The 24,327-nt window shown below is 41.5% G+C and overlaps 2 long non-coding RNA genes across 2 annotated transcripts in view, besides 1 other annotated feature; one reads left to right on the top strand and one right to left on the bottom strand.

Annotated features, from left to right (window-relative positions):
- The window catches only part of LINC00707 (long intergenic non-protein coding RNA 707), a 63,309-nt gene extending 49,441 nt beyond the window's left edge, over nt 1-13,868 (bottom strand). Inside the window, exons 1-2 of the long non-coding RNA NR_038291.1 lie at nt 13,579-13,868; nt 11,980-12,162 (exon numbers count right to left, since the gene is read on the bottom strand). This is a non-coding gene — a long non-coding RNA (long intergenic non-protein coding RNA 707). The remainder of the gene's footprint in view (nt 1-11,979; nt 12,163-13,578) is intronic.
- A 417-nt stretch (nt 13,869-14,285) lies between these two features.
- Nucleotides 14,286-19,163, top strand: LINC00706 (long intergenic non-protein coding RNA 706). Its single transcript, NR_108074.1, has 2 exons — nt 14,286-14,355; nt 18,531-19,163. It is a non-coding gene; the product is annotated as a long intergenic non-protein coding RNA 706 (long non-coding RNA).
- Nucleotides 23,132-23,191: an enhancer, noted in NCBI's record as "active region_2969". NCBI's record gives its function as "activates an Ori minimal core promoter by ATAC-STARR-seq in GM12878 lymphoblastoid cells {active_cell/tissue: GM12878}" and the evidence as "EXISTENCE:reporter gene assay evidence [ECO:0000049][PMID:35858748]".

Raw genomic sequence — 24,327 nt, 5'->3', positions numbered from 1 at the left:
TTGAGGCATAGATTTCATGTTATAAAGAAAAGATTGGAAGCAAGGGTTCTTAAGCTGGTGTTTGTAAAGAGACCAAAATTTCAAGATAATTTGTTTCCCATTATATTCCTAAGTATTTTATTTTATGTATCTGAAACATTGTTTCTGAAAAGGAACTCACAGGGCTCATCAGGCCACCAAAGGGGCCCGTGACACCAAAACAGTTAAGTGTCCCAGTTTGGTGACGGGCAGATGACATCCCCTTCAAAAGACCCATCACTGGTACCTCTTGCTAGTTTTGGGTCTTTGAGGGAGAAACTTCCTCCGTGTGTGTGTGTGTGTGTGTGTGTGTGTGTGTGTGTGTGTGTATGTGTGTGTGTTTGAAACATAGTACAGATACTACCCCATCCCAACCTTAGTTCTATTTTGGGAGCCCAAAAAATAGAGAAATGTGTATTTTACATGGCAGCATGGAGTCCTAGCACTTCAGAGGGTTATGACTGCGCCTGAGTCTCCCCCTGCCTCAAGGAGACACAGGGTGGCTGAGAGAGACTGAGCCGGCAGGTGCAAAGGACCACTCCACATGGGGCAGCAGGAGGCCAGAGCACAAGGCATGATGGACCCTTCACCTGGGGCCCAGGAGAGATGCTGTTTCAGCTCAGGTGAGGCCACCAGGAATGGTGAGGACCCAACTGGACATGGCATATCCGCCCAAGTCAGCAGGGAGAATGCTGACTGTCAGAGAATACTGGGAAGATGAACATGGGCCATGTCCAAACCCCCATCCTCTCCCTCTCTTTCTCCAGCTCTGAAATGTGTTACCAGGGGGGCAAGAGAGACTCTCAGATCTGTGAGTGTAAAGCCCAAATCACTGAAAAGCAGAAGTAACAGGTTTTCACTGAAATTGACTGGATCTTATTTTTTAACTCCAGGAGGTATGAGAACTTGAAATCGACATTTAGTCACAGAAAAATAGAAGTTCTTTTTTTGTACCCTTCAATTTCATGATCTGTGAAAACATCACATATTCGGTAAGTTTCTTTAGATGGTAAATTTCTGATCTAATAACAAACATTTTACTAAGACTCTTTATATATACATTTAATGATTTTTCATAAAAGCTCTACTAATTATTCTCCCAAGCCACAAGCTCACTAGTACTGAGTATTATCATAATTTAAATATTTCCCAGTTTGATTTTTAAAAGCACAGTTATCTGGTATCCAATTTTACCATAATTTGAAGCCATTTGTATTCTTCTGTGAAATATGTATTCAAGACCATTGCTCATTTTACTTTATGGGTATTAGTTCTTTTATTGATTTGGTTGATCTTGCCTACATTCCTTCCCACCTCCACCTGCCTTTTTTTTTTCTTCTTCTTCTGGTGAATAGTTATTTTGTTCTGTTCAGGTTTGCAAACTATATCTTCAACCAGCTTAAGAAACAAAGAACCTCCAGTTTCCTTGGACAACTTCTTAGGAGAGGAGGAGAGATTGTAAAGCAACAATAACAACAAATTTCTCAGCTAAGAAAGTCTCAAAGTTCCCGCTTTCTACAAGATTGTTCTTGTTTTAGAAAGGAAGACTGGATCATGTAGCAATGACTGCTGGTGACCTATTCAATGTCCACCAATATTCTTCTGTATTACCGAAACTCTGCTTCTTTTGGAGTATCAATACACTTCATTTTCCAGCTTTTGTTGCAACCAGCACAGCCATGTAACCAGTTCTAGCCATCAGGATGTGAGCAGCCCTTCTGGCAGGGCTGTCTCATAGGAGATGACAGCATGAAACTGCCATAATCATCACAGACTGCTTTGCTCTGGACTTCGTTGTGAGTGTAAGCTTGTGTGTATTAAAGCACTGGTACTAACTGTACTAAAGTACAGTTAGCTGAAACCCATCCTAACAGAGAGACCCAAAGAGTTCATGCACTCTGTTCCTAACCAAGAAAATTCATGAAGGTAGAATGTAAGGGTCTCCAGAGGAGCATGGTGCTGGCTGTTCTAATGGTTTTTGAAAAGGAAATGCAAAAAGGAAATCCCATCAAATTCTTGATAGCACAAAAAGCTTTGCTTTTGGCATAGTCAGGGCTCAGACAGAGAGTACTTAGGCTTTTAAATTAAGTGTCTGTCAGCTTTTAACATTTGGGGAGATTTCTATATTAAATATATGAACAATGACCTTAGCAAAGAATTCCAATTTTATTGCTGGTGCTGGATATAGAAAGCAAAGAGGGTGTCCTTCAGGGAAGTGACTGGGTGGGTGTCATGTGGCTCCCCTGTCACTGGCCCAATTCATCTCCCAACCTATCACTCATTTTACATTGTTCCAAAATGTTAGATGCCTAAAGAGTAAGGTCCAAATGCTACAAGCCTACTTCAGACCTCTGCACAACACTGCCCTGTCTGAATATTCTAGCCTCCCTTTCTTCTGCAGCTCACATACGCACTTAGGACACATTTGATGCCTCACTGTAAGATAGTTTCGTGTTTCTTTACTGTTGCTTCTACTGTCCTTTTAACCTGACATACTCTTATCTCAAGCATCTGTCCATTCATTCATATGTACATTTAACCAATATTTATTGAATATTTGTTAGGCATCAGGCAGGCATTAGGATAGGTGTTAGGGTTACCCCAACAAACTTGTTATGGTTCTAGTCCCTAACAAAATTCCACTTACCACCCATGCACCCAACGGCTTAGCTCAAGGCTCCCCGCCCCCCTACCCGGCCCATGAAGCCTTCCTCTGCTCTCCGCTCTTATTCCTTAAGATTTCCTGGCTATTTTTGGCTCACTGCATTTTCATATAAATCTTGTAATCACTTGAGTCAATTTACAAATACACACACATGTAATCTCCTGGGATTGCATGAGGCTGGGGATACATGTAGGAAGAGTCGACATGTTTACAAGTGAGTCTTCTGATTGACAAATGTCCTAGATCTACTTATTTACTATATCTACTTATTTAGATCTCCCTTTGAGTTCCCTCTCAGAGATGCTTTGTGGCTTTAGAACACAAATCTCATATACCTCTTTAAAATTTCTATTTAAGTATTTAATATTCCTCGATGCTGTTGCAAATCCTGCAATTGCAAGATTTTATTTTCTCTGTGTTGCAGGTCTATAGATATAGAGGTGATTTTTTTATACTGACCTTACATGCGGAGACTGCGTAAAGAGACATTAAATTTAAGTTGTTTGCAGATTCTTTTGGATTTTTCTTCATATAGAGACAGTTCATCTGTGTCTAGTAAGTTTTTTCTTCCTTTCCAATGATTCTGCCCTTTATACGTTGGCTTGCATTATTGCCCTGGCCTGGACTTCCAGGACCATGTAGGTTAGAAGTGGTAAACAGTAGGCACCCTTATTTCTTTCCACCACTTGAGGGAAAGCTTTCACTATTTTGCCTTTAATTTGCAGTTTGGGTAAGCCTCCTCTGGGCTGATCCTCTTCCGGCAACATGAACTTCCAGGGCTTTGACTGAGGCTGGTGCATCCCAGGAACACTGCCTCTCCTGGGAACTGAACTCTAACCTGGGTCTCCAAGGCATCGTCACACTGCAGAAAACTCGACCCAGCTCTTCTGATGTACTCAGCTTAGCTTTCCTATGTCCTTCCCTTGCAGCTTCAGAATTCAGCAAATGTCTTGAGGGGGAAGCTGGTCCTGTGTTGAAGGCCCTATTGTGTTGCACATCCTGGCTACCTTCCCTGAGCTCTGCTGAAACCTCTGCATCCTGCCCGCTGAGAAGGGGTTTGGGTAGAGTTTAGATGCCAAGCTTCTCGTTCTCACCCAGAACTCACAGTGAACCCACAGTGCCCCAGGATAAAAGGCTGGTGCAGATTCTCCCCTTTGCTGTCTTTCAGCCTCTCTACCTACATTGCTTCAACAGCTCCTTGGTACCTTTAAAACAGATAATTTTTGGATTTTATCTGTTTCATCTAGTTGTTCTGATTTTCAGGATTAGTCTGTCACCAATATCTCCATCTTACTCAAAAGCAGAAGTCCCATAAAAGCTTTTTCATATGTGCTTCCAAATTTATCTTTGATTTATTATACACTTCCAAATTTATTCCTCCTTGGGAGGTGGAGTATGAGGATCAAAGCAAACTCTGGAGGTTTTCTAGGGTCTCCACCTGAAGAACAATCATAAGGTTATTCCCAGAACTGAGAGAACTGCAGAAATTAAGGGCCAGTCGATGGAGTCAAGTTAACTTTGGATAGATCTGAAAGAGAGGGCAACAGGGCATTGCATCCAGGCTCTGATTGGAGCAGTTCATCTAATCTCCAAGTCTTTATTTCATCTGTCTACTGCATTAACAACTTCCCACGTCAATTGCCAAGACAAACTAAAACAATCATAAAAAACAAACTTGTCGTATATGTCTAGATGTACAAAGTTTTGCTTTGGGAAGTAATGAAGAAATATAAGACATCATGAACTCAAGACTCCTTGAGACAAGGCACGGCAATTAGATCCTCACTTATGTGGCCCTTGGACGTCCCGACTTCAACAAGCATCCTTCCATCTCTGCAAACACAGCTTCGGGACCGAAACCAGTTGGAGACCCAGGAGTGATCACTTAACTGGGACTTGAATGGAAAAACGCTCAAAGAATATCAGGCTGTGAACTGGGCATTTTCAGTGAGGACAGAATGCAAAGGAAAGAAAAGGAGAAGCTGTAAAATGCCTATTGACATTTTTCTGGGCAAGGAAGAAAAATGTGTTCACCTGCCTTCCAGGGCCCTTTTATATTGCCCTAAATTCTGCTACTTGTTCTCCTATTCAATCTTGTATCAGATTTCCTTCTCAGAAAAAAAAAAAAAAAGGCTGACATGAAGAATAATTCATATTCATAGAGTCAATTCTGCTGAAAATAATCCCTAGGGCTTTAAAGCACTGCATCCCGAATTAAAATGCTCTGGACGCTCAGGGTTTGGGCTTGTGTCTCTCCGGGGATGCCATTCATGGTTTATGCATATTAGGTTATTTTCCAAATTCTGCTGTTTTGCTCTGGAAAACAGATTTAAAAATCCAGTTGAGATACATCTGGAAGACTTTAAAAACTGGGAAAGATTCTCATCTGGATGGGATGGTTTAAGTGTGATGCTGCTTGAATTTGGAGCCAACGGCCATAAGATCTTTCCAGGCCGTTTCCAAGACTTGAATTTTATAATACTATGAATATCTAACCAACAATCCCCTCAGGGATAGATTTCAAAATTGGACATTATGTGAAAAAAAAATCAATTAATTTTTTTTTTTTTTTTTTTTTGATGTAGTAGAAAGGCCCTGAGCTGGGATTTTTAAAATATGGCTTCTTGTCCCAGCTCTCTCCTAATTAGATGAATGACTTGGGAAGTCACGTAACCTTCATGGGCCTCAGTTTCATTGTCTGCAAATGAGTATTTGCTTGATAATACCCAATGTCTCTTTGAATTGCCTGTCCAATAGAGGTTTTAATTATTTATTTTCCATTTGTCCGCTTCCCTCTATATTCCATTGTCATTTCCTGGTCCTCATTCCAAGTAATGCATTGATTCTGGCTTCTCCTCTCACTAGCTGTGCAACTTTAGGCAAGTTACTTAACCTTTCTGTGCTCGGAAAAACAGTCTTCATATTGTCTGCCTCATAGAGTATTGTGAGGATTAAATGATTAATGCATGTGAATTGCTTGGCTCAGTAATAAGTAAATAAATGCTAGCCTCTATTCATTATTTTCAATAGACTGGTTTCATTTACTCAAGAGTATAGCTGATGCACTTTATTCCTGGATAACAAGGATAGAGTTGAGGTCATTATTATCAAGAGTGGCCTCCATTTATTGAAGAAAAGTAAACCTATTAGATTATTGACTCTTTTTCTCTTGCCTAGTCTCAAGTCATTGATTCAGGAGCTCTGCAGAGTAACATGAACTTGAATATCTCTTTCCATCCAGAGCTCTTTCCCTACCCTTGTGTGAACACACAGAATGAATCGTGAAGGTCTGATCTCAATTCAGAGACCTTGAAAGCAAGATCAAGCAGAGGCTTGTCTTTGGCTCCCCCAAGTCTGCAGTACAGGTTGGAATAATCAACATTCAATTGTAGGAAAAAAATGCATAGATTCCAAGTGAAACACTAGTATCACTGAGTAATAGGTTTTAGGAAAATAGATTCAATTATTTGGGGTGATATAATTACACACTACATACTGTAAAATGCTCAGCTCGTAAGTGCACACAGTATGAGTGTTGACAACAGTATACACTACCTGCCCAATGCCCCAGTTGGAATGCAGCGTCAATTCTAGGAAGTTCCCTGCGCCCCTGTCTATCAGGGGGTCTCCTACATCAGCAGCACCTATGATTTTGCTTCCTATCCCCATAGATTAGTTTTGCCTGTTCTTGAACTTCCTATAAATGCACTTTTTGGGTCTGGCTTTTTTTACTCAGCCTAATGTATTTGAGATTAATCCCTGCTGCTGTATGTATCCACTCATTCCTTTTTAGCGCTATGGAGTTAGTATTCCATCGTGTGACTGTACTGTTAATCTGTTTATTCCTTTTGCTGCGCATGGACCTTTGGGCTGTTTTCCTTTCATGCTATTATGAATAAACCTGCCAAGAATGTAGAGAATGACTGCTGCAATGAAGTGATTTTTTCCCTGAACTTTGAAAGTTTTCTGCCATGCGATTATATTTTCTTAAAAAATGAAAGATTTAAAATGCATCTCAAGGTCAGCTCAAGTCTTCCCTCTTTCATAAAGAATTCAGTTCCTCCCCCTAGGGCCCCCAGGCTTCTTTTCTGAACAGCTTTTGCGCGTGCCCACGCACAAATGCAAGCGTTTCGCACACTGCCATCGTGTGGCTTGCTTTTGGACTCTCTTTTAATATTCCTATTGTCTCTTGTGAAAGAGGCTTATCTCCTTCTCAAAGGAAAACTTTGTACATCTAGATATATTTGACAAGTTTGTTTCTGATGATTGTTTTTAGTGGGTCTTGGCCATTGAGAGGGGAAGCTGTTAAAGTAGTAGAAAGATGAAACAAAGGCGTGGAGATAACATGAACTGCTCTAATCAGAGCCCGGACGCAATGTCCCATCCAGTGATTCCAGGGCCCCTTACTCAGGTGAAGGGAAATGCATTGATTTGGAATTTCTGTTACTTGCCCTTTCCTTCCCAGTTCAGAGCACAGGCCTGCTGAAACTGGCTTCACTGTAACTATCCCCAAATATTTCCCTGTGCGCCCCCAGAGCACGCTATTGGAGGAATGTCTGTAAAATCCCTATTCAGACGATGTTCTCTCAGTGGGATGTAAATAGAAACCTAGCTCTGATTGTGTTCATTGTCACAGCACAGATGGGGGTTTCTAGCCTTTAGATGTTGTGTGGTGTGTGCGTGTACTTGTTTGTGTGCGATGTATATGTGTGTTTGCACATGCTTGTGTGTGTGTGCTGTATATTCGTGTGATGTGCAGTGGTGGGCATATATGTGTGTGTAGTGTGTGGTGTGTGTGGTATTTATATGTGTAATGTGTGTGTGCATGTGGTGTGTGTATTTTGCGGGCATATGTGTGTGTGGGAAATGAATGTGTATCTGCGTGTGTGTGTAGTATATTTGTAGTATAGTTTTGTGTGTGTGTGATGTTTCTATGTATATGTGCACGTGTGGTACATGTATTTTTGTGTGCATATGTATGTGTGTGATGTGTGTATGTGTGGTGTGTGTATTTTTGTGTGCATATGTGTGTAATGTGTGTGTGTGGTGTGTGTATTTTTGTGTGCATATGTGTATGTAGATATGTGTGTGCCTGCAGATTTGTGTGTGCATATGTGTATATGAGTGTGTGTGTGCATGTGTGATGTGTTATTGTGTCTCTGTGTCTAGTGTGTACTTGTACACACAAACATGCATGTACACACCTGCACACATCTCTCTTCAGTTCTAAGAGGAGTGATGAAAAAACAGAATTGCTAGGATTAAAAGTGGGAATTGAACAATGAGAACACATGGACACAGGAAGGGGAATATCACACTCTGGGGACTGTTGTGGGGTGGGGGGAGGGGGGAGGGATAGCATTAGGAGATATACCTAATGCTAAATGAGGAGTTAATGGGTGCAGCACACCAGCATGGCACATGTATACATATGTAACTAACCTGCACATTGTGCACATGTACCCTAAAACTTAAAGTATAATAAAAAAAAAGTATCATAGAAATAAATGAGTGAGTTGTTTAGTTATTTGATGATAGAATATCAGCTCTGGCTGCTGAGTAGTGAGAACCGGAGGGGCGAATCCCTAGAGAATGTTATGTGTTCTTCTCTAAAGCCCACAGAATGGCCATGCTCCCACTCTTCCATCCTACTTTTTCTATCAGTCTTCCCTTTCGTAATTGCTGCCTTAGATGGCCTGAGCTTATATATTAAGATCATAGTTTCTTTTACATTTGTTCTTCATTCACGTATTTTATTTTAATGAAAGCGTGCAGAAGAAAACCTAAAAGTACTTTAAAAGCAAATATTTAATGAGTCTTTAGTTAATGGTAATGAATAGCCCTATAGAAAAGAAACATTATTTTCACAATGTTAGAAACACAGTAATAGTTTATCAAAGCTTTATTAGAGTGCTTAATTTAAGTGTTTCAAATCAGAAAGGGTTTTTATAAATGTATTCAAATGTTAAGTAAGGCTGGGCACGCGGCTCATGCCTGTAATCCCAGCATTGTAGGATGCCAAGGCGGGCGGATCACTTGAGGCCAGGAGTTCGAGACTAACCTGGCCAACCTGGTAAAACCCCATCTCTACAAAAAGACAAAAATTAGCTGGGCATGGTGGTGCATGCCTGTAATCCCAGCTACTCGGTAGGCTGAGGCATAAACCCGGGAGGCAGAGGTTGCAGTGAGCCGAGATGGGGCCACTGCACTCCAGCCTGGGCAACAGAGCAAGACACCATCTCAAAAAAATAAAAAATTTAAGTAAGCATAAAACTAAAATTAGAATTTTATTCTTGATTTTTATTATATATGGTAATGTAGTTTTACTGAATATCAACTAACAGTAAATTCAAAATAATGTTTATATATTTTATTATCATGAAATATTACCTATTTATTGTAGAAAATTACAAAATAAAGATTAGCAGAGAGAAAAATACTTACCAACTCAAGAGGATTTCTGTAGGAATTATGGCACATAATAGATATGTGTATACTTTTATGTATATATTATTTATAGAAACAGATATAGAAAGATAAATACTAATATATATGGGTATATGTTTGTATATGTGTAGGTATTTATAATATGATATTTATGTATATGTATATGTATATATTTATGGATATATACACAAAATAAACTGATCATACACTTATTTTTTTCACTTATGATAGGTTATAAACATATTTACATATCAATAAACATTCACCTACAGGATTGTCAATAATGTGAATGGAATTTTCATTCTAACAATGCTGTATATACACACAATTCTCTTGGTAGAATTATTAGGTTGCTTTCAGTTTTTAATTATAAAAAACCTATTGTGAAATTTTGCTTCTAGATGAGATGAAATAACAGAAGCCAGGTTTACCACCCCCCCAACTAAAAAATGAGACAAAATATGAATCAATGGTTTTTGAGACATTGGATATTGGACATCGGACATCAGTCATCAAAGGAAAGAGATGAGAACAAACAAAGCTAAGCCCCAGCTTGTAGTCTTAAAGGGATTCAAGACCACAGTGAAGAAGGGAAAACTCTGACAGAAACTGGCAGACTCCCTGACTTGTTAAGGATGATGTCTGGGGAGATCAGAGTGGTGAGAGTTCACAGCAGAGAGCACTGGGAAGGAGAGAGCTGCATAAAAGAAGATTATGGATGTCTGCAGGCCATCCTCCTCAAGTGTTTGGCAGAGCACTGATCAGAGCATGCATGTGAGGAAACTACCTGAGTCTTTCTTTCTCTGGAAGAAAGAACCACATGAAAAGATTAGTGGAACTGTAGCTGGAGCTCACATGAGCCTGGGAATAGTATCCATTTCCTCCAGCCAGGTTGGAAAATTTCCTAATTCACAGGACACTGGGTAGAGTGTTTAGGAGGATCTTGCCCTGGTAGTAGGGAACAATTAGCCCTAGACTAGGCTTATCAGGTGGAACTAGAGGGGTGTTAATCTAGCCTAAAAGATCAAACTGTTTCCAAGTAACTTAGCTGCGTCCCAGAAGAAAGCTCAAGAATATTCAGAGGAATATAAAAATATCCAGTGTTCTAAACCAGGCAAAGTTGCAATGTCTCTCATCTAATCGAAAATTGCCAGGCAGGTGAAGAAGCAGGAAAAACATATTGCAATGAACGACATTATCAGTGACATTTTGAGGGAATCTTTCAATTTGTCCACTCACAGCTGACCTAGCAGGAGGTGGACACCTGCCCCAGAGCAGGTTAGAGATCATCCTTGGGCAGCCAGTTACCTAAGGCCTCTCACCTGACTTTTCACAATGAGTAGAACCAATCAGCTACCTCTTTTCTTAATTTAAACTAAGAAGCAGAAAGAAGTTAGCAGTCGGTGGCGGATAATTGAGCTGAAAGGTCATATAAAGTTATGTGTGCGGTGTCATTATTACCCTAAGTACACATTGCAATTATGAAGAGCAGAGACTCAGAGTTAGAATGGAGCAGATCTATGTCCTATAAATCAAACAAGGTCAGCAGAAGGGGAAATGGGAGTAAGAGAGATGATTGCACTCAAGATGCTGCAGCTCTTCAGATTTTGAATCCTGGTTTTTCAGCTTTTTTTGAATTGCCAGAGCTCTATACCCTTATACCAGTGATCCTTACTTGGGAGTGGTTTGGGTTTCCCACTCCTCCCAGGAGACATTTGGCAATATCTGAAGGTATAGGGTTGTCACAGCTAGTGAGGGGCTGCTACTGGCATCTAGTGGATAAAATCCAGGGACGTTGCTAAGTATCCTACAATGTGCAGGACAGCCCCTACAACAAAGAATTATCTGTTCCCAAATGTCAACAGGCCAAATTTGAGAAATACTGCCTTATGTTAACCTCTTTTTGAACCTGAGTTACTTTGCACGGGTTTCTCTTTTTTATAAATAAGAAATGCTTCTGTCAAACACCACCGTAGCTAAGGCTTTGTTCACATCCTCATTATTTCCTTAGGTTAAATTGCTAGAACTAGACTTGTGGGGCGGAGGTAGGGTCAAAGAGCATGCATTGTTTCAAGAGTTCAGATATACACGGCCAATTAATGTAGCATCCTTTAACAGTTTACTCATGTGTACTGAAATCGAAGGCCAGATCAGGCTTTATGTTAGGAGAACAGCTCATCAACCTTAGCATGCATCTTTGTCTCTCATCCCTAACCTTCTCCTCTTTAGAATATCTTTCTTGGTGTCAACTCCAGGCAACTCTGCAACACATGTTGTACCACTCCTTTCCCTGTGTCCAAGACAGGCATTCATTCAACATACAGCAAGTGCTAACTGAGTGCTCACCATGTGCCTGAGAGTTCTTCCTCACACAATGCTCCAAGCAGCCACTGCTAATCAGTCAGAATTGGCACATGAAATTTAAATGAACAATAGCCCAAACGGCAAAATAACGATCAATCATTTCTGCCCTTTTGTACGGTTAAATCAAGGACATTGCTGTGAGATTTCTCCTCCTTTCTTCTTTTTCTATGTAAAGAGCAGGGGAATCATTGTGCAGACCAGAGCTGATACAAGCTCCCCTACTTTTGAGTCACTTCAGTGTTACACCTGACCCTTCCTTTCTCCAGAGAGAGGAAAGCTTGTTTTTTTCCACCTATTTGCCCTAGCAATAGGTCAGTAAGTGTGTTGCCTTAGGGAAAGCTGTAAGGCACACCAGAACGAACCAAAACCAAAACAAAACCCTCTTTACAGTTATTTTTAGAACGCCTGAAACCCTAATTACTTCCCTTTTAGATAGTTATTAGTGAGAAACTTTTTTCCAACAACAACAAAAAAACAACACTTACCTATGAAAATTATGTATCTTTTTTGTGTGATCCTAAAATAATGTTCCAGACTCTTGAGTCTGCCTCTGTTTTCCCACATTCCAGGACTATCTGGTTCAATGTGCAGCTGCTCAGATGTGCAGGAGGTGTTAGGACCTTAACCTTCCATCATCCCTGGGAGGGGTGTGTATTTCCCTCATGTACCTGCCAGAGATATGAACTTTCAGTGAGCCGTGTCAACCTCAACAGACCAGAAACAGAACTTAAAAGTCCACTTATATTTCATTATTTGAAATCATAATGATGCACATCAAAATTAAAGAAAAGAAAAGAAAAAGGGCAATGTCCTTACTTCTAAACAATATGCCATATTTTTTATCATCGTATCTGGGAGGCAGCAGATGGTGGCGGTTTCTTTTGCCCCCACTCACTTCCCTTTCTGAAAGGTGCCTTCGAATCTTCTTCATTGGCTTCAAATCTTCTTCATGGGCTCAAAAGTAAAATATATCCAGGGAAGAGGATCCCTTTTTTTTTTTTTTTTTTTTTTTTTTTCCCCACAAACTGGCTTCTGGATTTGTCATGGCATGTGGCACTAACTGTTACTTAACAGACGACTCAAATCTGCTGCAGCACTGCCAATTTTCCAGTAAATCTTCTTTTAATTTAAAGTTATTGAATCATCAATCGCTTCCCACTGTTCACTTAAAGCATAATCAATTTATTACTTTCTCCAAATAAGATAAGCCTAAACCAACCGGCAATTCCAACTCAGGTTCTTTATTTATTTCTTGTACCAGTTTATAAACTTAAAGATTAGCAGAGATGCCCTGACTTGACCGGATGGTCCCGGTTTCCTGTGATGATCAACAGTCCTTGAAAGAGAAAGGACTTACCACTGTGGATTTAAGGGAAAAAATAGTTCAAAACAATGGATATTGTTTAACTTCTCATACTAAGATGTAATTTACATTGTCAGGAAACCTAGATTCTCTCTCTCTGTTCTTCTTTCAGTTTCCTATGGTCTTCTCTGTGTGCAAATGACTGGCAAGCCTAGGAAAGGTACCAGCCTTGCGTTAACTTAACCCTTGGCTCTGCCTCAGCCTTCTTAATTAGGAATGAGTATACTACAAAGGTGGGTAAGAAATGAAGTGGTGATGGCTGGTGGGGCTACTCAGTGAAGGCACAATCATGTCTTCCCCAGTGCTTTCTTCAAGGTCATAGAAGGACCCAAACACTAAACCAATCTTCTTCTTCAGGTGTTTCTCAGGGCTGGTGGTTCTTGGCAACTATGAGTTGCAGTTGGCCTCAAAGCCCTAAGATGCACCTGTTGCGTGTATGTATTTCAGGTTGAATCTCATACATGACAGATTCTGGAAGGCTTAACAAAGTCAGTGCTGGATAAAGGCAGCATGATGATACTGACTTTTCTGAAATTTTTTGTTGGTTATGGCCAATAATTAATATAAACCGTTCTCTTGCATTTAAGCCTGACTTAACTACTTCTGAGTTTTATTGTGGGATATAAAAATTAAAAATATTGTATTAGCATTCTCTAGAAGGACAGGACTAATAGGATAGATGCATATATGAAAGGGAGTTTATTAAGGAGTATTGACTCACATGATCACAAGGTGAGGTCCCACAACAGGCCATCTGCAAGTTGAGGAGCAAGAAAGCCAGTAAAGTCCCAAAACCTCAAAAGTAGGAAAGCTGATAATGCAGCCCTCAGTCTGTAGCCGAAGGCCTGAGAGCCCCTGGCAAACCACTCGGGGGGTAGGTCCAAGAGTCCAAAAGCTGAAGAACCTGGAGTCTGATGTTTGAGGGCAGGAGGCATCCAACACAGGGGAAAGATGAAGGTCAGAAGACTCAGGCAGTCTAGTCCTTCCACGTTCCTCTGCCTGCTTTATTTTAGCCACACTGGCAGCTGAGCTGGCAGCTGGGTGCCCACCCAGATTGAGGGTGGGTCTGCCTCTCCCAGTCCAGTGACTCAAGTGTTAATCTCCTTTGGCAACACCCTCACAGACACCCCGGGGCAATACATTGCATCCTTCAATCCAATCAAGTTGACACTCAATATTAACCATCACAAATAGTAAGCAAAAATGATAATTTTTACCATTATTATCTCAAAATTATGAAAGCTTTTATCTATAGCACTTCCAGTTTTTTAAAAGTGAGATTCATAAGACTGTGTTTACCCACCACACTGAATGCTACTGTCATGACTTGGCATGAAAAATAGCCACCCACTCAGAGTCCAGGAACACTGTGCCCTCCCCTGTGACGTCAACCTGCCTGGTTTATTCAGTGTGTGGCTGTTGCTCAGCATTCACCCAACAACATTTTTGATGCATGATGCATATGGTGCTAAATGCTGGGAATGCAAACCTGAGTAAGGTATTGTCCTAATTCCTGCCTAACGGTTTTCTGGGTTTCACTGGCTATGATTTCTGATCCCTCCCTCCCTCCCTCCCTCCCTCCTTCCCTCCCTCTCTTCCTTCCTTCCTTCCTCCCTCCCTCTCTCCTTCCTTTCTTCCATTTTTTTCTTCCTTCCTCCCTCTCTTCTTCCTTCCATTTCCTTCTTTCCCTCCCTCCTTCCCTGCCTTCCTTCCTTCCTTCTTCATTCTCTCCCTCCCTCCCACCCTCTTTCTTTCTTCCTTCCTTCCTTCATCACTCCCTCCCTCCTTCCTTCCTTCCTTTCTTCCTTCCTTCCTCCCTCTCTCCTTCCTTCCTTCCATTTCCTTCTTTCCTTCCTTCCCTCCCTCCCTTCCCTCCTTCCTTTCTTCCTTCTCTCTCTCCCTCCCCCCCCCCACCTACCTTCCTTCCTTCCTTCCTTCCTTTCTTCCTTTCTTCCTTCCCTCCCTTGTTTCTTAACCATTGCTTGTTAAGGGATGGCTCTGCACTGAATTCTGGTAATCACCGTGCTTTTCTTTTACTAAAGGTGGAACACAGGGGTGAATCGTTTAGGGCAACTAAGGGTATGTGGGAGAGGTTGATGCTTTCCCTCTCACAGGTGAGTCTCAAGCCTCCAAGGAAATGACAGAAATGCTTACAGATGGTTTTAGGCAGTGGTGCCTTATGGGGGGGTAAGTTTTTGCTTTCTTTTCCTAAGAAAAGAACAATCCAATCTGATTGCTTCCCAGTGTTTTGGAATTGGATTTGTGTTTTGCAGTGATGAACCTGGCCTTAAGGTAGGTGCGGGGTGAGCCCATTAGAGATAAAAGGTAAAACCAGAAATCCAGTGGACAGCCATCTGAAACCCGTTCAGCCTGAAGCACTTTTTTCTAGACTCAAGAGCATCGTTGTATCAATAGAAAAGGGCAAAGATGGTGAAACAAAGTCATGTATATCCATCCATGTGCTTTCTCAAGCTTTTTATGGGTATTTTCTACAACTTAGATGTGCCTTGTCCTCACCAAAACCCATGTGGAAGTTTCATTGCAAGAGACAGTGTTGGGAAGTGGGGCCCAGTGGGAGGTGTTTGGGTCATAGGGGTGGATTCCTCACGATAAATTGGTGCCGTTCTCAGGATAGTGAGTGAGTTCTTACTCTTGCAAGACTGGATTAGTTCTTGCAGAGATGGATTAGTTCCCTCAAGAGTAGGTTGGTATAAAACATGTCACCCTCCTTGGTCCCTTCCTTTTCACACATGCCTACCCCAGTTTTGACCTTCTGTTATGTTATGACACAGCAGGAAAGCCCTGGCCAGAAGCCAGCGCCATGCCCTTGAAATTTCCCACCTGCAGAACCATGAGCTCAATAGACCTCATTTCTTTCTAAACGACCCAGTCTCAGATACTCTGTTATAGCAACACTAAATTGACTAAGACAGTGTTATTTTGTAGAAGTAATGTAATCCCTCTGAAAAGAACATGGGATTCAGAGAAAAATGCCACAGCTCTTAGTCCAGTTTTGCCATGACCTAGTAGAATGAGATTGCTGATGCTAAAAATGTTGAAATAAAATCATAGTATAAAGGTCCTAAAACCACACCTGGCACGAAGTAGGCCCTGCACGAATGTTTGCTTTAGCTATGTGTTTTCTCACAAAGTAAATCTAAACTTTACTGAATTGCTGGGCGTGGTGGCTCACACCTGGAATGCCAGCACTTTGAGAGGCTGAGGTGGGTGGACCAACTGAGGTCAGGAGTTTGAGACCAGACTGACTAACACGGTGAAACCCCATCTCTACTAAAAATACAAAATTAGCCAGGTGTGGTGGTGTGCACCTGTAATCCCAGCTACTCGGGAGGCTGAGGCAGGAGAATCTCTTCAACCCAGGAGGCAGAGGTTGCAGTGAGCCAAGATCATGCCACTGCACTCCAGCCTGGCGACAGAGCAAAACTCCATCTCAAAAAATAAACAAACAAATAAATAAGAAAAAAATAAACTTTACTGAATCAATTTGTGTTCCTGTAAAGTGGAGAGAGAAATAAGTCCCCACTTGCCTGAGCAAAACACTTTGAAGATTAATTAAAGTAATGCATGGTAGTATATATGAAACCAGGATTCTTTGCTCACACAACATCCAAGAAGTACCAGTCTACAAAACAGATAGCCACGGGCTCTGCACACCGCTACCCCATTGCTGCTTGCTGCTTCCCACTGCCCATTCCTATTGTCACACCACAAGGGTAGAGGGGGACTTACAAACAACTGGTCTGGGCATAAGTATTCTTCAAGCCATAAAAAGTATGTGCATACATAAAACCATTCTGTAGATGCTCTCAAGAGCTAGCCAACAGGGTGACTCTGAGTCTTTAGAAAGAGTTAAGTGAACTTCAGCCTAACTTTCAAGAAAATATAACATAATTCACCAAAATGAGTAAAATTCCAAATAGTCATCTGGAAAATTTCAAACCAAGGAACACTTTGTTCTTAGACAACGCCAGAAAAACAAGGCATTTATATAGATTTTGAATTGTGTTTCCAGGAAATGGAAGAAATTCTCAGGTAAGAATTTGCCCAGCAGCAATGTGTGTGGTCATCAGGCCACTGACAGTTCTGACAATCAGGCAGCCCCTGACCCCCTCCAGTGCCCAGCCGGCCACCTCTGTGTGGCACTGTCGTGAACAGGGCTGTGTCTCTGCATCATACTTAGCTCCTCTGTGATCATTTCCACGTGTTTCACCTCCTGTTTCTACCTACAACATGTGGACATTTTCACAAAAGGTACTTCTCTAAGCAAATCAACAGCTCCGAATTCAAACCCATTCATCTACGCAAGAAATGTTCATTGAGTGACAATTTTGTGCCAGAATCTGTACTAAATGCTAGGGATACAGGAATGATCAAGAGAAACAGTCCCTGGAAATGATAGCCCAGTACAAGAGAGGGAAATGCAAAAATGGTAATTGTTAAATAATAATTATTGTGATAATGATGGCAGAGATGGAACTTGCATTTATGGGACCACAATGTTCAGTGTCTGCAAGAAGAATCTGGGGCTTATCTACTTGCTTATGAATTTGGTTTACGTATTAAAACAGCAAAGTGTATGTCATCATTTGGGAGCAGCAGAAAAAATGTAGGTGTCGGTAAGAGGCTGTCCTATTAATAGGTAGACTATAAGTATAACCCAGGCTGTTCTTTAATATGATTACATCACTGTTTTAGAAAACTATGGAAATGAAAGGTTTTTACAATAATTAGTTTGCATATTTTCTCTTCAGCCTCTTGAGTGAGCCTATTCACTAGAACCTAGGAATTTTCCTACACTCCCTCAATGCTCAATTTCAAAAGTTGCTGAGAGGAAATGACAGACGCTCTCCAGAACAGCTTCCTTCTGAGGAAAACTCTCGAGGGCTCAGAGCTCACACTAACCTGAAGACAACTGTGTAGATCTGTGCCATCCTTCAACAAAGAAAAAGGGGAGAGAAGAAGGGTTGATTACATGACATATTGTGTTAATACATAGGCTTGTTTCTCCCAACCCAGGCTGAGGGCACTTGAATGATGTCATGTCTGTTGTTCAACCCAATAACTTCCACTAAAGACGAGGAAGAGTGATGGGACATCAAGTGATGGCCACAGGCTAGGGGAGGCACTTGTCTTTGTCGTGTCCCTTAGCGTAGCATAGGAGTCAACTCCCCTTATCTGCTTAATAGACAAAAGATAAGGAGAAGAGAGATGGCACTTTTACCAGGGCATGTGGTGGGTGTGAGGTGGACAACCTCTGTGGGGCTGTTCATGTCCTTTGTGGAGACTCCTGGCATTAAAACCACCCTCGGCTGCCTGGCCAGGAGAATGTGGTTTCATGGAAAGGGGTTACACAGGCAAATCACCAACCACGTTGGAGGATTCTAACTCTTCTGCAGCTAAATGGTGGCATGGGTAATAAACCTGTATGTATGAAAAGGAGAAAATGATGGGTAGAGCAGAATTCTTCTCTAGGGCTCTGTTCAGAAACTTTACCCCACAGAATAGGGCTATCACCAATGAAGAGAGGCAAACACTGATCGTGAGTCTTAAGAAATTCAGATGGGACAGTATTGTCTGGAGTTTGATGAATTCACTGCTTCTGTTGAACTCAATGAGTTCTGAGCCTATTTCCTTCATGATTTTCTCCTCTAGTGTCTATTTCAAATCAATAGGAGTACTTGAAGATTCTCCCTGCTTACAATGTAAACATCATGAAGAAAGAGATGTGTTGGACTTGTTCATCGCTATATTTCCTGGCTCAGATCCTGGCACTGAGTAGACATCAAGAAATATTTAAATGAATGAAAGAATGAATGAATGAATGAACGAACTGTGTCCTCTTGTAGAGCTGAGGGTGTTTTACCACTACCCTAAGAGCTGACACCAGGAGGTCTTGCTGCAAAGCCAGGCACTGTATTCCACACTGTATTTCCATCATCGCTTTTAATGAGACTTCTTTGCAAATATGTATGGTATCTTTTAAAATACCTGATAACCAGCCAGCAGGGGTGGTCAGCTGCTACACTGGTAGCCACAAACAGAATCCAAGACACAGAACTTCATACGGTGTCACAGCTTCATTTTCCAGGCTACAGCTCCCACTGCCCACATCAGAACCATCTGCAGGTCCATAAGCTGTGAGTTTCTTTGGGAGTTGGGGGAGTGTCTTTTGGATGTTTATAACTTATGCATCTTAATATTGAATGTGCACTTAATACATGGAACTTCATAGTACTTGATTTTTTATGCAAAAATGACTTAATTAAAATTTCTTGAAGAAACATCATAGAATGAATATGGAGATCACTTAAGTACCTTCCTGCTCTGTACATAATGATAAAATTCTGGTAGCTGATCTAAAGCTAAGAAGAATGTGGGAGGAAACAAAATGCAAGTGGTTAGGTAACTGCTCTATTTATCGATTTATCTCTCGTCCTTGCAGATAATCTAACTTACAGGCCATCTTGCTTTCTGTCAATCTATCTTTTTCTGTTTCTTTACACCTACACATCTATCTAGCTACCTGCTTATCTCTGTCTGTCACAGCACTTCTAAGCAATACGATTAAGAGGACTAGGTTTTTGTTTCTTTTTTAAAATGTGCCACTTTGTCTGTTAACACCTGGAATGGAAAACCTACTGCCTCATGGTCTGTTTAATGGTACCTCAGTTTATCCATTCAGTATCTAAGTGAGGGGAGAGCAGTGATCCAGGATTAATACAATATTAAACTCTTCCCCTGCTCTTTACTTGTAGAGGACGTCCTATAGTTGGGGAACATCTGCCTCACACTGTGTCTCCATTGTAGGTCATTTGAATTGAGGAGTCCTGCCTCTCCCAGACATCACACCACAGCTTTCAACACATAACTCTTAGTCTTTTCTGCACCCCAGGACCAAGGCAGCCTCCTTGAGTGGAGTGGGAATTCAATGCAGGGACTCTGGAGGGCTTTTGAGGTCATCTTGAAAGAAGGGTACAAGGGCCAGGCGCAGTGACTCACACCTGTAATCCCAGCACTCTGGGAGGCCGAGGCGGGGGGATCACCTGAGGTTCAAGAGTTCCAGACCAGCGTAACCAATATGGTGAAACCCTGTCTCTACTAAAAATACAAAAATTAGCTGGGCGTGATGGCAGGCGACTGTAATCCCAGCTGCTAGGGAGGCTAAGACAGGAGAGTTGCTTGAACCCAGGAGGCGGAGGTTGCAGTGAGCCAAGATCACCACACTGCACTTCGGCCTGGGTGACAGAGCAAGACTCAAAGAAAGAAAGAAAGAGAGAGAGAAAGAAAGAAAGAAAGAAAGAAAAGAAAGAAAGGAAGGAAGGAAGGAGGGAAGGAAGGAGGGAGAGAGAGAGAGAAAGAAAGAAAGAAAAGAAAGAAAGAAAGAAAGAAAGAAAGAAAGAAAGAAAGAAAGAAAGAAAGAAAAGAAAGAAAGAGAAAGAAAGAAGGAGGAAGGAAGGAAGGAAGGAAGGAAGGAAGGAAGGAAGGAAGGAAGGAAGGAAGGAAAGAGTACAAGAAAATGGGAGCCACCCACAAACAATTTCATGTGCTTTGACATTTTTCAAGGTCCCCGGCGGTGGTGCCTGGCTCGATTTCTTCTTTAGTGAGTGCAGGAGCCATGGGGACCAGGTCCCAAAGATCCCAGGCTTCACTTTAAGCATCTCCTAATCTGGCCAGGCTTGTGATCTCTTTAGGGATGATGTCTGAAACGAAGGAGTGGTCAAACAACAGGGCATTGTCACAGCAACCAAAGCTCTGAAAGGATGGCAAGCTTTCCCAACCTGTGGCCTGCGGGCTGCACGTGGCCCAGGATGGCTTTCAATGCAGCCCACACAAATTCATCAACTTTCTTAAAACATTATAAGATTTTTTTGCAATTTTTTTAGCTCATCATCTATCATTAATGTTAGTGTATTTTAGGTGTGGCCCAAGACAATTCTTCTTCCAATGTGGCCCAGGGAAGCCAAAAGATTGGACCCTCCTGAAATGAGGCACAAGAACGTGCAGCCCGGGCTCCTGATGCCGAGGACCGGGAAAGGCCCAACGGAGTTTGGCTTTAGTGAGGAGCTTCAACAGTCAGGATTCCTATTAACACTGTGATTGTGTTCCTTTGGTGGACCTTGGAAGTGTTCAAACAATCTCAAGTACATATGCAAGTTAGCTGAGGGAAGAGCTGTTTTTCATTCCTGTGAGACAGCTCTCTGAATGAATTCAGTTTGTCTAGACAGACTGTAAATCCACTGGGTAATTATCTCACCTCCCATCACTATGGAGTAAAAAATAAATAAAGAGCGTTAGAAACTTCCATGTTAAATCAAAATCTGCCGATTACGGGTGTATTCATTTCCTAGGGCTGCCATAAGAAAGTACTGTGGACTGGGTGGCATGAACAACAGAAGTGTGCTGTCTTACAGTCCTGGGGGCTGGGCGTCCAGAATCCAGGTGTTGGCAAGGTTGATTGCTTCTGAGGCTGAGAGGAAGAATCCGTTCCAGGGCTCTCCCCTGGCTACCAGGGGTTTGCTGGCCATCTTTGGAATCCGTTGGGTTCACTCCTTTCCCCACCCTCATCTTCACGTGCTGTTGAGTGTGTGTGTGTGTGTGTGTGTGTGTGTGTGTGCAAATTTCCCCTTTCTATGAGGGTGTCAGCCATATTAGGGCCTACCTTGTCCATGAAGTATGATCTCATCTTAACTAATTAGACGTTCAAAGACTTATCTCCACATGAGGTCACATTATGAAGTGCTGGGGCTTAGGACTTCAACTTGTGAATTTTGGGGCAGACACAATTCAGTCCATAACTGTGGCGAAGATGTTTTAAAAATCGCTGTTTTACAGTGAATCCTGACCCCTCTCATCCCCCGTTTGAGCTTGTGTTGGTAGAACTTCTGCTGTGAATCCCAGACTCTGTTCTCATGTTTACAGGGCAGCCCAGTTACCAGAATTTGCCACTAGCGGAGTCTTGTATGTATATTTGAAATATTTCATAATCTGTAGTTGGCATTACTACATGGCAATGATTATAAGGCAATGAAAGTACAGGACTAATACAGATGTTCTAAGCATTCTGGAAAACTATAAACATTTTCTCCAGTCAAAGTTCACATTTCTATTTATAAATGCTGGATCGTAACGATTCAAAAAACTTTCCTCAAAAGCTGATAACTTAGTGGTTTAGGCTCTATGTTTATAAAGACAAAGGAATCTTTTTGAATTTTGAAATAACAACTGAATACAAGAGCCAAAGAAAGTACTTTGAATGTCCTTATAAACAGAGTGACTTTCTCTTTTCAGAGATAATTAGGTAAAAAATAGATAGGTCAGCCTATTTATTTGAAGCGTTATTGCAATAAAAGAGAATTATCCAGATTAAAGCTGCTTCAGCTTAAACTTATTTTTTCACATTCATTTTCTACTTAGTGCTGTAAAAATTAAATTTATTTGTAACTAAATTGGGAACAAAAGCTTGCTATGAAACAAGACCCACAAGCATTGACTAACCAAGCTCCGCCTGTAGCCCCGAGGAGAGCCTTGGCATAGCTGAGCAGTCGGTGAAACTGCCTGAGTGAAGTGTTTGGTCTGTGATGTGATTAGCGTCTGTCACTACAGCAGCAAGGCCAGGTCACAGGGATGAGCACTTATCGGTGAACTGAACACAGAAATGACCAAGGACTGGGGCTAGAGTCCAGCAAAAAGCAGCACATCATATTCCTTAGACGAGTCATAGAAGCCACTCTTTTGTTCAGTTTGAAATATTCCAAATAAAGACTTAACAAAAGATGCCCCATGATTCTGTTATACTGAAAACTAAAAGCAACTAATAACTTTATATTTTATTAAAACACAAAGAATATATAATCTAAATGTTTCTGACTCAGAAATAAAATGCAGTTTCAGTGTAACATATTTACAACATATCATCTCCTCAAGTATTTATCCTATAAGTTCAAATTACACAATGTACCAGTCATCTATTTCTGCATGAAAACAAAGCAAAATGAAACAAAACCGAAACCCATGCTTAGCAATGAAAAAAATCAGTATCAGCCTCATGGATGCTGTTGGACATGAATTCAACAATGGTAAAGCTGGGATGGATTCTTTCTGTTTTTTGACACCTGGAGCCCAGGTGGGAAGACTGGAACACTGACACAAACATCTGGGGCCACAGTCATCTCAGGGGTGAGGGCATCTTCATTGACAGATCTTCATCTGTCACCTGAGCTGGGATGATTCAAGGCTAGGCTAAGCTAGGACTGTAGGCAAGACTGTCTACATGTGGTCTCTCTCCATGTGGCTTGGGCTTCCTCACAGCATGGTGGCCTTCAGGTGGTTAGACTTCTCGCATCACAGCTTGGGGCTCAAAAAGTGAATGCTCCAGTGGACAAGGGGACAAGGCGGATGTTGCATCATCCTTTCTGACCTAGCCTTGGAAGCCACACAGTTTCACTTCTGCCACATTCTATGGGTTACAAATGGGTCACTTAGCCTATTCGAATTCAATGGGCAGAGAGGAGACAACTTTCAATGGATGGTGTCAAAGAAATTATGGCCATCTTTAAACCATGTGACTAGATTTTCTGAATAATTCCCTTTTCGCTCATGAACAATTTCTGGTTTTAGTGGATAGAATGGACAAATATTGAGACCACTGTGCTTTTCCGAAATTGTGCCAGCACAATAATTGTTTGCTCAGCATTTCTTATAGTACCTGAATGAAGTTTTAAAACATATGGCATCTGGAAGTGGTAGAGTTTGCAGGTAGAAGAATAAATTCATAAAATCATGTTTCCTGCAAGGACATTTTTCCCCTCTTCAAATTCACAAACAAAATATTTTCCTAAAGCTTCCCTTTAAATCTCGAAACACATACCAAATAGGATTTTTTTTTGTTTTTTATTTTTCTTTTTTTGAGATGGGATCTCACTTGTCTCCCAGGCTGGAGTGCAGTAGCACGATCTCAGCTCACTCCAACCTCTGCCTCCCAGGTTCAAGCGATTCTCATGCCTCAGCCTCCCCAGTAGCTGGGATTACAGGAGCATGCCATCACGCCCAGCTAATTTTTGTATTTTTAGTGAAGACGGGGTTTCACCATGTTGGCCAGGCTGGCCTTGAACTCCTGACCTCAGGTAATCCACCCGCCTTGGTCTCCCAAAGTGCTGGGATTACAGGTGTGAGCCACTGCACCCCGCCAGGAACAATTTCTGACCAAGCCAATTTTTGCACACAGGTTGTATGCTTCAAATTAAGCAAAATGAGTTTCTGTCTGAAGTGGTCACATAACCACTATCGAATTGCTTAATCTTCTTTCTCTAACACTTTTTAACAGTTTTACAAAATGTTCTACACATTTGACATTTTCTTTGCAAAACAGCTTCCAAACATTCTACAAGAAATTTTAATAAAAAGTTCTTAGCACACCAAAAACAGATACAAAAACACATTTGTACATCAT

The sequence above is a fragment of the Homo sapiens genome, chromosome 10, assembly GCF_000001405.40.
Source record: "Homo sapiens chromosome 10, GRCh38.p14 Primary Assembly".
In the NCBI taxonomy this organism is placed as follows: Eukaryota; Metazoa; Chordata; class Mammalia; order Primates; family Hominidae; genus Homo; species Homo sapiens.
The sequence above is the reverse complement of the archived record's forward strand: the minus strand, read 5'-3'. Positions and strand labels throughout refer to the sequence as shown.